Below are 16,304 nucleotides of genomic sequence, written 5' to 3'. Positions count from 1 at the left end.
CCTGGGCGACAGAGTGAGACTCTCTCTCAAAAAAGTAAAATAAAAATACAAAAATTAGCCAGGTGTGGTGGCACGCGCCTGTAGTCCCAGCTGCAGGCTGAGGCAGAAGAATGACTTGAACCTGGGAGGCGGAGGTTGCAGTGAGCCGGGATTGCACCACTGCACTCCAGCCTGGGCCACAGAGCGAGATTCTGTCTGGAAAAAAAAAAAAAAACAAAAAAAAAAAAACCTTGCTTTAAGCACCGAAAAAGTTGTGAAAGTTGTGACCAAGCTCCCACATCCTGAGAACTCTGGGACTGCTGGCCAATAGTACTTGTTATGTAGTTGGGCTGGGATAAATAAAGCCCACTTAATTTAGTGCTAGATATCCTGTGTGGGCACCTAAGATGGTGTCTCAATATGTTGTGTAATACCAATGAATGTATCACATATGACCAAATATGCCAATGTTTCTTAGCTCCCTGCATATTTACTGCTTTTTCCTCCCACTCTCACCAACTCTTGAAAAGGCCCTAATGGCCCTAACTTCATCACCAGTATTAGAACTAGAATCTACTCTTTTTATGGATACACTCACACTCACTTATTCCAACAACCCTATGAGGGAGGTAGTAGTCTCATTGTATAGTAAAACAGGCACAGAGATCAAGTTACCGAAAAGCATGACTTTTGTAATTAGAGCAGTTTCCCGGATTCTATTGCTGTATCTTACTACCTGCACACTAGTAAACCTGGGGTTTACAGGCTACAGATCCTTTCAGCTCTGATACCCCCACCACTCTACAGCCCCTGAACCCCCTCCTCCAGCCTGCTCTTACTGTCCAGATAATGTTTCAAATACATCCCTGCATCCATCTCGAAGCAAAACAAAGCAACTTCCAATCCGCCCCGGGTTGGAAGTTCCTCTTCTCCACATATTTGGTAGAAATTATATAGCTGAAAGTCTGTCTCTTTAAAAACTTGCCGTAAGACATTGGTAATTCTTATGAAGGATGTGTGAGGGTACGAAAAGTGTGAGGGGTGGCAGCTATCTCTAAAATACTATCTTACTAACACCACTATTAGGTTATGGCCTTTGTGTTGGCAGTGTGTTGACAGCCTAGTGTGTTGGCAGCCTCTCATACCCTTGACTGCTTCCCATTCTGATGAAAACCATAGAAATCACTCTACCATAGCTGACTAGAGTGATGGCTAGCAACTAACTAGCCAACTAGCCCAGTAGTGATACTGCTGCATCCCTCAATCCCTTCAGAATTATGATGCTAACATCACATATAAACAAAAGGAAAACAAAAACACGAGATTTCCCCCTTAGAGAGTAGCAAGAGGGGCCAGGCACAGTGGTTCGCACCTGTAATCCCAGCACTTTGAGAGGCTGAGGTGGGCAGATCACCTGAGGTCGGAAGTTCGAGACCAGCCTCACCGACATGGAGAAACCCCATCTCTACTAAAAATACAAAATTAGTCTGGCGTGATGGTGCATACCTGTAATCCCAGCTACACGGGAGGCTGAGACAGAAGAATCACTTGAACCCGGGAGGTGGAGGTTGCGGTGAGCCATGATCACGCCATTGCACTCCAGCCTGGGCAATAAGAGTGAAAATTCTGTCTCAAAAAAAAAAAAAAAAAAGCAAGAGGGCAAGGCAGGAAGTAATATTTTATATGTGAAAGTGTATTCTAGTGTAACGTACAGGAGCTCTGACAAAAGATGTGCAGAATTATAGCTTTATTATGAGTCATTCTTTGTATTTATAAGTAGAAAGGTGATCATCTTTCTCAAGTTAAAAAAATAATGCTGGGGGAGATGGTGTTTGTGTGAGTGAATAGAAATTCAGACGGTTTAAATGTCTCAAGGCCTGATACTCTTCCCCAACTTCCTTAAGAAACTAACTGGCTTGAAAAAAGTCATTCTGCAAAAGAGGGAAAAAAAGTTGGATCTTCCAGTTGCTGAGAAGGTATGTTTACGCAATATGAGCCTAAAGTGAACAGTTACCCCTGCACGGATTACCATACATTCCCGTTTTGGAGGGAAAAAAGTTTGCTAGAGAATGCAAAATGGCGACCTCCAGTGACGTCATACCTGTCTCGGTCGCGTCCTGGGGTGTCTGTAAGGGCGGAAGCGGGCTACAGCCGCCTCACTGTGGGCGGTCGTGGCTACCATGCAAAAGGAAAAGTTTCAGTGTCGGGCGGATGTGTACCGGCGGTAATATAGTAAGGGCGGAAGTTCTCCTTTAAGGGCGGAAGTTCTCCTTTTAAGGGCGGAAGTTCTCCTTTTAAGGGCGGAAAGGCTTTAGCCGCAAAATGGCTTCGGCCCCTGTCGCGTTACAGTCACTTCCGGGGCGGATCGGAAGTTGCTTTGTTTTGCTTCGAGATGGCTGCGGGGATGTATTTGGAACATTATCTGGACAGTAAGAGCAGGCTGGAGGTGGGGGTCGGGGCTGCAGAGTGGTGCGGGGATCAGGGATGAGAGGATCTGTAGCCCTTAAGTTCCAGTGACGAGAAGGTCACAATTATGAAGCGGTTCTGTGGCAGGAAATATTGGAGGGTGCGGAGAAAGAGGGGGCGGGGCAGCAGGATCGAGGCCCCGCTGATGGGTGTAGACGAGGGAGGGGTGCGGTGTGGGGGTTAGAGACGTGTCTTGAAGGGCTAGTGTGCATGGCCAGGAAGATAGTTGCTGCCCCCATTCTCCAGGGTCTCCAGCCTCGGTAGATTTTTTTCCCCATAGTCGTTCAGAATCGTTATCACACACTGCCATTTGGAGAAGCGGTAAAGACCTCTCCTCCACTCCATTCTTCCTCAAAAGTGGCTTCTCATGGGGTTGAGAGTGGTGGTGATGAGTGACCACTGTCAGATGATGAACTAGAACGCTTCTCTTCATGGAGTAAAGATCTAATTCCCATCAAATGAAAATCTGGTGTTTATGCGATTTATGTAAACCACCCCTGCAGAAAGCCTATTGCTCTGTGCGCTTACATTTGTTTTAGGGCCCGGAGTCATTTATTCAACAAATATTTATTGAGGTCCTGCTATGGGTCAGACATAATGGCAGGCACTAGGGATAGAAAAATGAGTAAGACAAGGCTCCTGCCCTCAAGAAGCTCACGATCTAGTAGGAAACAGATTCTGCAAATAATTATAAAACACTGTGACAAGTGAGATAATGGAAATACATTAAAAAGGACACTTGGTAGGCAACCCTGGAGAAAAGGGGGGTAATTACCTGGGGATGTAGGAAAAGCTTTACAGCGGAGGTGATGTTTGAATAGGGTCTTGAAGGTTATTTGCCAGTGAGGAGAGAAAAAAGGAATTCCAGGTTGGGGAAAGCATCCGCAAAGGTACTGTGATGGGTTTGTGGCAAGGTCAAGGGTGTTTGATATTTATGACTCAGAGGTCAGCGTATTTGATATTTATGAATCTAAGGTAAGAAATTGAGAAAGGAGACTGGAGAAAGAGGCTGAGGCTAGATTGGACAAGGTCTTTTAAGCCAAACGAAGAAGTTTGCATTTTAAAGTAGAGTATGATTTTTATAGAGGAAAATGACTAATATATGGTAAATTGGAGCATGATATTGTTGATAACAGAGATCAATTAGTGATAACATTCCAGGACAGAGATAAGAACCTGATTTTAGGGAGTTACAGAAGTATTTAGGAGTTAAATATGAAAGGACTGACTGAATGACTGAGTGGTTGAGAGAGAAGGAAGAATCTAAGGTGGCTTCTTCCTGCTTAGAAAGTGAGGTAGACAGGCTGGGCACAGTAGCTCATGCCTGTAATCTCAGCACTTTGGGAGGCCAAGGCGGGCAGATCACTTGAGGTCAGGAGTTTGAGATCACCCTGTCCAACATGGTGAAGCCCAGTCTCTACTTTAAAAAAAAAAAAAAATTAGCTGGGCATGGTGGCATGTGACTGTAATCCCAGCTACTTGGGAGGCTGAGTCAGGAGAATCACTTGAACCCAGCAGGTGAAGATTGCAGTGAGCTAAGATCATACATACCACTGCACTCCAGCCTGGGTGACAGAGAAAGACTCCGTGTCCCTCTCAAAAAAAAAAAAAAAAAAAAAAACAAAGGCTGGTGGCCAGGCACGGTGGCTCATGCCTGTAATCCCAACACTTTGGGAGGCTGAGGCAGGCGGATCATGAGGTCAGGAGATCGAGACCAGCCTGGCTAACATGGTGAAACCCCGTCTCTACTAAAAATAAAAAAAATAGCCAGGTGTGGTGGTGTGCCCCTGTAGTCCCAGCTACTTAGGAGGCTAAGGCAGGAGAATCGCTTGAACCTGGGAGGTGGAGGTTGCAGTGGGCCGAGATCATGCCACTGCACTCCAGCCTGGGCAACAGAGTGAGACTCCGCCTCAAAAAAAAAACAAAAACAAAAAGGCTGGGAGCGGTGGCTCACGCCTATAATCCTAGCACATTGGGAGGCTGAGATGGGTGGATCGCCTTAGGTCAGGAGTTCCAAGACCAGCCTGGCTAACATAGTGAAACCCCGTCTCTACTAAAAATACAAAAATTAGCTGGGCGTGGTGGCAGACGCCTGTAATCCCAGCTACTTGGGAGGCTGAGGCACAAGAATTCCTTGAACCTGAGATTGCGCCATTGCACTCCAGCCTGGGCGACAAGAGCGACACTACACCTCAAAAGAAAAGAAAAGAAAGTTACTCAGCGGAGAAAAGATCATGCCAACTGCTGCAGAGATATTTTTTAGGATAGGCTTAATAACACCATTAGATTTGGTAAATCACCAGTGACTCAGTCTTGTGAACTGGTGGTAGCAGACCTGAAGTTGTAGGTTTAAACAGTAGAGGCATTTTATTTTTTTTTATTTATTTTATTTTAGTTTTTCTGTTTGTTTGTTTGTTTTTGAGACAGAGTCTCACTCTGTCACCCAGGCTGGAGCGCAATGGTGCGATCTTGGCCCACTGCAACCTCTGCCTCCCGGGTTCAAGTGATTCTCCTGCCTCAGCCTCTTGAGTAGCTAGGATTACAGTGCCCGCCACCATACCCAGCTAATTTTTGTATTTTTAGTAGAGATGAGGTTTCACTGTGTTGGCCAGGCTGGTCTCAAACTCCCAACCTCAGGTGATCCACCCACCTTGGCCTCCCAGAGTGCTGGGATTACAGGCATGAGCCACCGTACCAGGCCTTTTATTTTTTATATATATATTTAATTTTTATAGAGACAGGATCTGGCCATATTGCCCAGGCTGGTCTCAGACTCCTGAGATCAAGCGATCTACCTGCCTTGGCCTCCCAGAATGCTGGGATTACAGGCGTGAGCCACTGTGCCCAGCAAGTAGAGGCATTTTTAAAGTTTTAGGTGGAGTCTTGGCAAGAGATTTCTCTTGTACTGGGGTGACAAATATTCATGCATTTATTCAAGTATTTACTGAGTACCTGCTCTTTGCAAGTCATAATTCTAAACACTATGGAAACAGGAGAGAATATGATAGCCATGTTCGGCCTGGGGAGACAGATACCAAATAACTAATTACACATTATTTTTTTTAATTTTTTTGTTTTTTGAAACAGTCTTGCTCTTTTGCCCGGGCTGCAACCTCTACCTCCCTGGTTCAAGCAATTGTCCTGCCTCAGTCTCTTGAGTAACTGGAACTACAGCCACAGGCCACCATGCCCATCTATTTTTTTTTTTTTTTTTTGAGACAGAGTCTCGCTCTGTCGCCCAGGCTGGAGTGCAGTGGAGCGATCTCGGCTCACTGAAAGCTCCACCTCCTGGATGCACGCCACTCTCCTGCCTCAGCCTCCCGAGTAGCTGGGACTACAGGCGCCCGCCACCACGGCCAGCTAATTTTTTTGTATTTTTAGTAGAGACGGGGTTTCACCATGTTAGCCAGGATGGTCTCAATCTCCTGACCTCGTAATCTGCTCTCCTCGGCCACCCAAAGTGCCGGGATTACAGGTGTGAGCCACCGCGCCTGGCCTAATTTTTGTTTTGTTTTGTTTTTGAGATGGAGTCGCACTCTGTCACCCAGGCTGAAGTGCAGTGGTGCGATCTCAGCTCACTGCAACCTCCACCTCCCGGATTTAAGCAATTCTTGTGCCTCAGCCTCCCAAGTATCTGGGATTACAGGTTTCACCATGTTGGCCAGGCTGGTCTTGAACTCCTGGCTTCAAGTGAGCCACCCGCCTCGGCCTCCCAAAGTGCTAGAATTACAGGCATGAGCCACCGTGCCTGGCCCTAATTTTTGTATTTTTAGTAGAGATGGGGTTTTGCCAGGCTGCCAAGGCTGGTCTTGAACTCCTGGCCTTGAGTGATCCACCTGCCTTCCAGAGTGCTGGATTACAGGCATGGGCCACCGCACCCAGCCAACTAATTACACATTTATTTAATTACAGTTGGATAAGTGCTTTAAAAAGGTGGCTAGAATACCTTGACATAGATCGAGGGCAGTTAACAGAGTCTGGGAAAGTTGAGTTTGAGCTGAACTTTGGAAGAACGAACAGGAATTTAATAGGCCAAGAGGGATGGGGTGGATGGGATGAGGAAAAGCGAGCGGTGCATTCCAACTAGAGAGAACAGCATGTGGAAAGCCAAATGGCAGGAGGAGCACAGGCCAGTTTGAGGCAGTGCGAGGAGGCCAGTATGGGCAAAGCAGAGCACAAAGGGAGACTGACATGAGTTCAGGCTGGTGTGAGGTAAGCAAGGGCCAGAAAGCGCAGAACATCTTCAGAGCAGTAGGAAGTGACCAGAAGGTTATAAGCGGGAGAGTGACTTGATTAGGTTTGCATTTTTTATTTTTGTGTTTGTTTTTGTTTTTGTTTTTTTGAGTCAGTGTCTTGCTCTGTCATCCAGGCTGGAGTGCATTGGCGTGATCTCGGCTCACTGAAATGTCCACCTCCCAGGTTCAAGGGATTTTTGTGCCCCAGCCTCCCAAGTAGCTGGGATTACAGGCATGTGCACCAAGCCTGGCTAAGTTTTTGTATTTTTGGTAGAGACAGAGTTTCACCATGTTGCCCAGGCTGGTCTTGAACTCCTCAGCTCAGCTGATGCGCCCACCTGGGCCTCCCAAAGTGCTGGGATTACAGGCATGAGCCACCGTGCCTGGCCAGGTTTGCATTTTTTAAAAAGGACATTCTGGCTACTATATGGAAGTAGATTGGAAGTGTTATGTGTATAATAGAGGATACCAGGAGACTATTTGTAATTTGAGGACAAAGAGCTTGGAGGCAGAGATGGAAAATAAAAGAAAGGGGCCCGTCTTAGTGGCTCATGCCAGTAATCCCAGCACTTTGGGAGATCAAGGCGGGCGGATCACCTGAGGCCAGGAGTTCAAGACCAGTCTGGCCAAAATGGTGAAACCCTGTGTCTACTAAAAATACAAAAATTAGTCGGGTGTGGTGGCGCGCGCCTGTGGTCCCAGCTACTCCAGAGGCTGAGGCAGGAGAATCACTTGAACCCAGGAGGTGGAGGCTGCAGTGAGCCAAGATCGTGCCACTGCACTCCAGCCTGGGCAACAGAGCCAGACTCCGTCTCAAAAAACAAAAAAGGAAAAGAAAGGGAAGAGCTTTTTTTTTTTTTTTTGGAGACAGAGTCTCGCTCTGTCACCAGGCTGGAGTGCAGTAGTGCAGTCTTGGCTCACTGCAACCTCTGCCTCCCAGGTTCAAGTGATTCTCCTGCCTCAGCCTCCTGAATAGCTGGGATTACAGGTACGTGCCACCACACCTGGCTAATTTTTATATTTTTAGTAGAAACAGGCTTTCACCATGTTGGCCAGGCTGGTCTCGAACTCCTGACCTCGTGATCCACCCGCCTCAACCTCCCAAAGTGCTGGGATTACAGGCTTGAGCCACCACACCTGACGGGAAGAGCTTATTTATAAAGGAAGGTCACTGAAGGCGAAAAGGGTGGGATAGCCATGCAGAAATGGAAAGGTTTTGTAGAGAAAGAGTTAAGCATGGCCTGTCATGAGAGAACTGATCCATCCTGTCACAGATAAATCCAGAGGTTCAGAGGAAGGAAAACTGAGCTGCACTTTATTTTTTGTTTGTTTGTTTGTTTGTTTGAGATGGAGTCTCACTGTGTCGCCCAGGCTGGAGTGCAGTGGTGCGATCTCGGCTCACTGCAAACTCCGCCTCCCAGGTTCATGCCATTCTCCTGCCTCAGCCTCCTGAGTAGCTGGGAGTACAGGCGCCCGCCATCGCACCTGGCTAATTTTTTGTATTTTTAGTAGAGACGGGGTTTCACCATGTTAGCCAGGATGGTCTCAATCTCCTGACCTCGTGATCTGCTCTCCTCGGCCTCCCAAAGTGCTGGGATTACAGGTGTGAGCCACCATGCCTGGCCATTTGTTTGTTTTTGAGACAGGGACTTGCTCTATTGCCCAGGCTGGAGTGCAGTGGCTCAATCACGGCTCACTGCAACCTCTGCCTCCTGGATTCAAGTGATTCTCATGCCTCAGCCTCCCAAGTAGCTGGGATTAGAGATGCCCACCGTCACACTAGGCTAATTTTCATATTTTTAATAGAGATGGAGGTCTCGCCATGTTGGCCAGGCTGGTCTTGAACTCCTGGCCTTGAGTGATCCACCCCCTTGGCCTCCCAAAGTGCTGGGATTGCAGGCGTGAGCCACCATGTCCGGCCTGAACTGCACTTTAAAAGGAGCTGTAAGGCCTATGCATAGTCAGTCCTGTGATTGTTTCTCTCTCTTCCCTAGGTATTGAAAACCTTCCCTTTGAATTACAGAGAAACTTTCAGCTCATGAGGGACCTAGACCAAAGAACAGAGGGTATGTATAGAGTAAAAAGTTTTTGTATCTAATGAGTGTGTGTAATCATTTATTTTTCTACTTGATGTTACCGTATCATCTGGTATGATCTGGAGAACTGTGGCTTCTCTCGCTCCTTTTTTACGCTCTTGGAATTCTTAAAACAGGATAATGATCCTCATTTCTGTGTCAGCTTTTTCATAACAAATAGAGTATTGTGAAAACGCCTCAAGAATTCAAAGATGCTGTGTTCTTTATGTCTTCCTGGAGAATAATTAGCCAGGCTGGCTCACACCTGTAATCCCAGCACTTTGGGAGGCCTAGGCGGGCAGGTAACTTGAGGCCAGGAGTTTGAGATCAGCCTGGCCACATGGTGAAACCCCATCTCTACTAAAAATACAAAAACTAGCCAGGTGTGGTGGCACGCACCAGTAATCCCAGCTACTTGGGAGGCTGAGACGTGAGAATCGTTTGAACCTGGGAGGTGGAGGTTGTAGTGAGCCCAAATCATGCCACATGTCACTGCACTCCAGCCTAGGCAACAGAGCAAGACTCTGTCTCAAAAAAAAAAAAAAAGAAGAATTAAAGAAAGTCAACTCGAGTCATTTCTGCTCTCCACGTTTGATATATTTATAGGATGACTAGAATGTTTCTACTTCTCTCATTGTTAATGTTACTGTCACAAATTCCCAGTGTGACTTTAGACTGCAACATATGTTGGTAGATGGGAGGTTTGCTATATGAGAAGTCCTTAAAAAGAGAAAGAAAAAAGAAAGAGGAAAGAAAAAAAAGCAGTAATTGACAATGGGATCTCTATACCGTTCACACTTACAGAAGCATTAGATACCATCTCCAGCCTGGAACATTGAGCAAATTTGGCTGCATTGGGGCATTCACTTGGTTTCTTCAAAGATGTCTGTTGGAGCTATTCCCATACCCACTGAAGGATCTGTAGTCTTGTCTTCATTCTATGTAGCCATGTTCAAGGATGTAACAGACTGGTTTTGAGATACATGAAGCTGTGTCTTAAGTTACTCTGAGTTTACACATGAAAAGGTGAACATCATCAAAAACCCTGGACACAGTTCCCTGAGAACTGCCTGCCGAATGGTGAGAACCAGATTGCTTTTTTTGTAATACAGTTGTAACTCTTGAGTTCATGCATGGAAAGACAGTTGGAGATTATGGAACTATATGCTTTTTCAGCTTCTTCCAAGAGCCTGGAATGAAGTGGAGTATAAACAGTGTCTTCACAGATCCTCCTGGTTATCTGTTGCTGCACTATGTTAGAGTCAGACTTGTCTCTTACTACTGACATATTTATGAGCCCTTCCAAATATTAGTAAACATCTATAGTCTCAATGTCCTGGGACATTACCATTCTTCCAATATTAAAACATTTGGGGCCGGGTGCGGTGGCTTACGCCTGTAATCCCAGCACTTTGGGAGGCAGAGGCGGGTGAGTCTCCTGAGATAAGGAGTTTGAGATCAGCCTGGCCCATATGGTGAAACCCTGTCTCTGCTAAAAATACAAAAATTAGTCGGGTGTGGTGGCGCATGCCAGTAATCCCAGCTACTCAGGAGGCTGATGCAGGAGAATCGCTTGAACCTGGGAGGTGGAGGTTGCAGTGAGCTGAAATCACACTACTGCACTCCAGCCTGGGCAACACAGTGAGACTTGGTCTCAAAAAAAAATAAATAAAATAAAATAAAACATCTGGGAGACCGGGTGCCGTGGCTCATGTCTGTAATCCCAGTACTTTGGGAGGCCGAGGCGGGCAGATCACTTGAGATCAGAACTTCGAGACCAGCCTGGCCAACATGGTGAAACCACATCTCTACTAAAAATGCAAAAATTAGCCAGATGTGGTGGCGCACACCTGTAGTCCCAGCTACTTGGGAGACTGAGGCACGAGAATCCCTTGAACCCACGAGGCAGAGGTTGAGGTGAGCCAAGATCGTGCCACTGCACACCAGCCTGGGCAACAGAGCGTGACTCCGTCTCAAAACAAAAAAACGTGTTTGGAGCAATATCTAGGATGGACAAACAGGAAAAAAAGAAGTAATGGAAAATGAAAGAAGTTGCAATGATGAGCCAAATAGGATGGGCAGCCTGGCTGCAGTGGCTCACACCTGGAATCCCAACACTTTGGGAGGCTGAGGCAGGTGGATCATTTGACCAGGAGTTCAAGACCAGCCTGGGCAATATAGTGAGACCTCATCTCTAGAAATAATTTTTTTAAAAAAATTATCAGGGTGTAGTGGCATGTGCCTGTGGTCCCAGCTACTCCAGAGGCTGAAATGGGAGATCATTTGAGCTCAGAGGTTGAGGCTGCAGTGTGATCCATGATCATGCCACTGCACTCCATCCAACCTGGGCAATAGAGTGAGACCCTGTCTCAAAAAAAAAAAAAAAGAAAAATAGAGTGAGCAGTAAGATAAGCAGAATTGTTACATGGATGTTGGAGTAAGGTCTAATTTTAAATTGTGTGATATACTCAACTACTCAGGAGGCGAAAAGATAGAATCACTTGAGGACAGGAGTTGGAGGTCAGCCTAGGCAACAAACATAAGAGAGAACCTGCGCCTGCCTCTAAAAATAAATAGATTAGGCCAGGCATGGTAGCTCACCCCCAATAATCCCAGCACTTTGGGAGGCTGAAGCAGGCAGATTGCTTGACCCAGGAGTTCGAGACCAGCCTGGGTAACGTGGAAAAAGCCTGTCTCTACAAAAAAATAGAAAAAATTAGCCAGGCGTGGTGGTGCCTGAGATGGGAGGATCACCAGAGCTCAGGAAGTTGAGGCTGCAGTGAGCCATGATTGTGCCACTGCACTCCAGCCTGGGCGACAAAGTGAGACCCTGTGTCAAAAAGAAAAAATACTAATAATTTTGAAATGTATGATATTGATGTACAGACTTGGAAACCAGCAACAGCAGATGACTCAGCCTGATTTGCGGCAGACAACTGCTGTGGGATGTTTTTGAGAAGGAAACAATGGCTTTTGAGACAAAATTCAAGAAGCAGCAAGCCCTTCAAAGAAGCATCTTCAAACATGGACAAAAATACACTTCATATTAATGTGGTGTGCAAAGGATCCCTTGCTGTGTTTCAGTAATTTAAATTCCAACTATGATAGCAATGTTTTCAGCACCTTGAAAGGACCTTTAAAGCAAATATTGTCAGTATGTTCCATTACTTGAGTGCATGGCACAGTACCTCTGAACATTCAGTACTTTTTAGTTGGAAGGTTATGCTAATCAATGGAAAAGGTCCAAAGAACAAAAGGAAGAAATGTGTTTCACCTAGCCACTCAGGGGCCATTGTGACCAGGCCTCTGTCTCTGTTGTAGACCTGAAGGCTGAAATTGACAAGTTGGCCACTGAGTATATGAGTAGTGCCCGCAGCCTGAGCTCCGAGGAAAAATTGGCCCTTCTCAAACAGATCCAGGAAGCCTATGGCAAGTGCAAGGAATTTGGTGACGACAAGGTGCAGCTTGCCATGCAGACCTATGAGATGGTATGGCCCTGTTCATGGCTCCCCACCTACTTCCCATCTAATCCTCAGGGTCTTAGACCCCTCCTTCAACTGTGTTGGGATCTGTTTGGGGTCTGTGAGATCCATAAACTCTGCCTTAACCTATTTTCTTTAATTGGAGATAGTTTTGTACCTCTCCTTTCTCCTTCCTTTCCACCCAGGTGGACAAACACATTCGGCGGCTGGACACAGACCTGGCCCGTTTTGAGGCTGATCTCAAGGAGAAACAGATTGAGTCAAGTGACTATGACAGCTCTTCCAGCAAAGGCAAAAAGAGTGAGGAGGGGGCGGGGCTGTGAGAGGTGGGGCGAGGACTGAAAGGGAGAAGAAGTCAGCTCTTCATCTGGTGGGAAGTTTGGCACCAGGTTGGAAAGGGGGAGAGAAGAGGACTTAACCCATCTTTCTGTCTCCCTGCCTTCTGGCTTTCTCCCTCTTCCCTAGAAGGCCGGACTCAAAAGGAGAAGAAAGCTGCTCGTGCTCGTTCCAAAGGGAAAAACTCGGATGAAGAAGCCCCCAAGACTGCCCAGAAGAAGTTAAAGCTCGTGCGCACGTGAGTGATTCAGGGAGCCCTTTGCCGGATGACATCCTCTTCTCTCCCGGTGCCCCACTCCCAGCCTGCACCGCCCCCTGCCGCTTTCTATATGTCTGCGCCAAGAACTCTTCTTATCATTTTGGTATCTGCTGGAGAAGCCACAAATCATTTGCCCTACCAGGATCTCCTGCCACCTCTGAAAGCCTCAGGCTTTAGCTTCCCTTCCTGTAGATGACACTTTCTCTTCCTCTTGGCATGCAGAAGTCCTGAGTATGGGATGCCCTCAGTGACCTTTGGCAGTGTCCACCCCTCTGATGTGTTGGATATGCCTGTGGATCCCAACGAACCCACCTATTGCCTTTGTCACCAGGTCTCCTATGGAGAGATGATTGGCTGTGACAACCCTGATGTGAGAAACATTTTGCCTTAGGATGGGGGGTTGTGAGGGGCATGAAGGGAGTGGGTACAAGAGGGAAAATCCCACAGTTGAGTACTGGGACTTCAGAATAGAAGAAAGATGGGCTGGACGTAGTAGCTCTTGCCTGAAATCCCAGCACTTTGGGAGGCTGAGGCGGGCAGATCACGTGAGGTCAGGAGTTTGAGACCAGCCTGGCCAACATAGTGTAACCCCTTCTCTACTAAAAATACAAAAATTAGCTGAGCATAGTGGCACACGACTGTCATCCCAGCTACTCGGGAGGCTGAGGCGAGAGGCAGGAGAATTGCTTGAACCTAGGAGGCAGAGGTTGCAGTGAGCTGAGATCACGCCACCACACTCTAACCTGGGCGACAAGAGCAAGACTCTGTCTCAAAAAAAAAAAAAAAAAAAAAGCCTGAAAGCCTGGCGCTGTGGCTCACGCCTGTAATCCCAGCACTTTGGGAGGCCAAGGTGAGCAGATCACTTGAGATCAGGAGTTCGAGACTGGCCTGGCCAACACGGTGAAACCCCGTCTCCACTAAAAATACAAAAATTAGCCAGGCATGATAGCCTGTGCCTGTAATCTCAGCTGCTTGGGAGGCTGAGGCAGGAGAATAGCTTGAACTCGGGAGGCGGGGGTTGCAGTGAGCTGAGATCATGTCATTGCATTCCAGCCTGGGCAACAGAGTGAGACTCTGCCTCAAAAAGAAAAAAAGAATAGAAGGAAGATGGTGGGAACTGGTTGGCCTTGGGACTTCCAAGAATTCTCCAAAAGGATGGAGTAAAGGACAGGATGTTCCTAAGGAATCTGGAGGGGCTTTCTCTCCTTCCTCTGGCCCTTCCTGGCCCCTGACTACTTCTTTCTTCCTCTTCCAGTGTTCCATTGAGTGGTTCCATTTTGCCTGTGTGGGGCTGACAACCAAGCCTCGGGGGAAATGGTAAGTGGCAGGAGTTGGAGGGTCCCTAAGTTGAGTGGTCAAGGGCATTCTCCCTTTCACTCACTTTTCTCTCCCCTTCTCTGTTTCAGGTTTTGCCCACGCTGCTCCCAAGAACGGAAGAAGAAATAGATAAGGGCCTTGGATTCCAACACAGTTTCTTCCACATCCCCTGACTTGGGCTAGTGGGCAGAGGAATGCCTGTGCTGGGGCCAGGGGTTCAGGGAGGAGTGGATGGCACAGTGCTGTCATCCCTTCTCCTCCCCTCTCCCCACTCCCGGTGCTGAGGCTGCATCAGACCCTGGTAGGGAGGGGTGCCGCAGCCACTAACGGTATGTGCTCTCCTTCAGCCCTCTCCCTTCGGAGGGACGTGGTCTTGCCCACTGTCCTTTTGCCTCCATGCTGAGGTCGGTGCTGTATTTCAGAGGGAGGGTCCTTTTCATTCTCCTTGCTTTGTATTTAAGGACTGGGGCATAGCATGGGGGCAGTCCCCCAGACCTCTTCATTCCCCCTCCTGTGGTGAGGGCTAGGTGTGATCAACACTTTTCTTCTCCATTCCCTTCCTGCTTTTTTCATGGTGGGGGATCCACCAGGTCATCTAGGCTCTGGCCCTAGTTGAAGGGGCACCCCTTCCTCTGTGCCAAGAGGATTCATCCTGGGAGAGGGGGCAAGGTGGAATGCAGATAACTCACATGTAAAAGGAACTTGGGTAGGTAAATAAAAGCTATACATGTTGGCCTGCTGTGTTTATTGTAGAGACACTGTTTTAGTAAACATGCTGAGCATTCATTTTGCGTCCTCTGGGTTGGATGCAATGTGAGAGGATGGCATGCCAGAATTAGGACACGACATGAAACCAGAGTGGTGCCTCTGTCCGAGAACTTGTAAGTTCTCAACTTGGGAAAGACAGAGGTGCTGGAGGGTAGGCCTCAGACCAGGGGGTCTCCAAAACTTTGTAAATCATGCATCTTTTCTCCATAAAACATCTTTCACTTAATTTCCAATAAATGATGTATTTGTGCTATACATACGTACTGCTATACTATACATTAGCTTGACTTCTTTTTTTTTTTCCTTTGAGGCGAAGTCTCACTCTGTTGCCAGGCTGGAGTGCAGTGGCGTGATCTTGGCTCACTGCAGTCTCCGCCTCCGGGTTCAAGTGATTCTCCTGCCTCAGTCTTACAAGTAGCTGGGACTACAGGCACATGCTACCACGCCCAGCTAATTTTGTATTTTTAGTAGAGACAGGGTTTCACCGTGTTGGCCAGGATGGTCTCCATCTCTTGACCTCATGATCTGCCTGCCTTGGCCTCCCAAAGTGCTGGGATTACAGGCGTGAGCCACAGCACCCAAGCTGATTTCTTTTTTTCATTTTTTAAAATTTTTTTTAAAGTAGGCCAGGCCCGGTAGCTCACGCCTGTAATCCCAACACTTTGGGAGGCCAAGGGAGGTGGATCACCTGAGGTCAGGAGTTCAAGACTAGCCTGGCCAACATGGCGAAACCCGGTCTCGGCCAAAAATACAAAAATTAGCTGGGCGTGGTCATGGGTGCCTGTAATCCCAGCTACTCGAGAGGGTGAGGCAGGAGAATCGCTTGAACCTGGGAGGCAGAGGTTGCAGTGAGCTGAGATTGTACCACTGCACTCCAGCCTGGGCGATAGAGTGAGACTCCGTCTCAAAAAAATAAATAGGCTGGGTGCGGTGGCTCACACCTGTAATCCCAGCACTCTGGGAGGTTGAGGTGGGTGGATCACCTGAGGTCCGGAGTTCGAGGCCAGTCTGGCCAACATGTTAAAACCCCATCTCTACTAAAAATACAAAAATTAGCCAGATGTGGTGGCATGTGCCTATAATCCTAGCTACTTGGGAGGTTGAGGCAGGAGAATCACTTGAACCCAGGAGGCAGAGATTGCACTGTGCTGAGACCAGCCATAATTTTTGTATTTTTAGTAGAGACTGGGTTTCACCCTTTTTTTTTTTTTGAGATGGAGTCTCACTCTGTCATGCAGGCTGGAGTGCAGTGGCGTGATTTCGGCTCACTGCAACCTCCATCTCCCGAGTTCAAGCAATTCTCCTGCCTCAGCCTCCCGAGTAGCTGGGACTACAGGCACATGCCACCACGCCTGGCTAATTTTTTGTATTTTTAGTAGAGACAGGG

At 47.5% G+C, this 16,304-nt stretch overlaps 1 protein-coding gene across 10 annotated transcripts, besides 2 other annotated features; it reads left to right on the top strand.

The window, feature by feature from the left end:
- Window positions 2,324-2,383: an enhancer, noted in NCBI's record as "active region_5874". NCBI's record gives its function as "activates an Ori minimal core promoter by ATAC-STARR-seq in GM12878 lymphoblastoid cells {active_cell/tissue: GM12878}" and the evidence as "EXISTENCE:reporter gene assay evidence [ECO:0000049][PMID:35858748]".
- On the top strand, window positions 2,354-15,172 carry ING4 (inhibitor of growth family member 4). 10 transcript variants are annotated; one of them, NM_001127584.2, is made up of 8 exons: window positions 2,354-2,408; window positions 8,675-8,746; window positions 12,077-12,243; window positions 12,423-12,528; window positions 12,706-12,811; window positions 13,055-13,202; window positions 14,088-14,149; window positions 14,239-15,172. In NM_001127584.2, the coding sequence occupies exons 1-8, from the start codon at window positions 2,372-2,374 to the stop codon at window positions 14,276-14,278; spliced, it is 738 nt and encodes a 245-aa protein (NP_001121056.1). In that variant the 5' UTR covers window positions 2,354-2,371; the 3' UTR covers window positions 14,279-15,172. The 10 variants fall into 10 exon arrangements, with proteins under 10 accessions (NP_001121056.1, NP_001121055.1, NP_057246.2 ...); NM_001127583.2 differs by having other exon boundaries at window positions 12,703-12,811; NM_016162.4 differs by having other exon boundaries at window positions 12,423-12,537.
- Window positions 9,883-10,083: a silencer, noted in NCBI's record as "peak1551 fragment used in MPRA reporter construct". NCBI's record gives its function as "represses an SCP1 promoter by STARR-seq MPRAs in K562 erythroleukemia cells {active_cell/tissue: K562}" and the evidence as "EXISTENCE:reporter gene assay evidence [ECO:0000049][PMID:32103011]".

The sequence above is a fragment of the Homo sapiens genome, chromosome 12 (assembly GCF_000001405.40).
Source record: "Homo sapiens chromosome 12, GRCh38.p14 Primary Assembly".
NCBI classification, from domain to species: domain Eukaryota; kingdom Metazoa; phylum Chordata; class Mammalia; order Primates; family Hominidae; genus Homo; species Homo sapiens.
Note: the sequence above shows the minus strand (reverse complement) of the source record. Positions and strands in the feature narration are given on the sequence as shown.

What these genes read in the sequence shown, in the direction of transcription:
- ING4 (NM_001127582.2), top strand. Translation starts at nt 2,372, where the DNA reads ATGGCTGCGGGGATGTATTTGGAACATTATCTGGACA. An exon ending in TTCCAGCAAAGGCAAAAAGA is followed by an intron (nt 12,538 to 12,702) that starts GTGAGGAGGGGG and finishes CCTCTTCCCTAG; the next exon opens with AAGGCCGGACTCAAAAGGAG. An exon ending in TTGGCTGTGACAACCCTGAT is followed by an intron (nt 13,203 to 14,087) that starts GTGAGAAACATT and finishes TTCCTCTTCCAG; the next exon opens with TGTTCCATTGAGTGGTTCCA.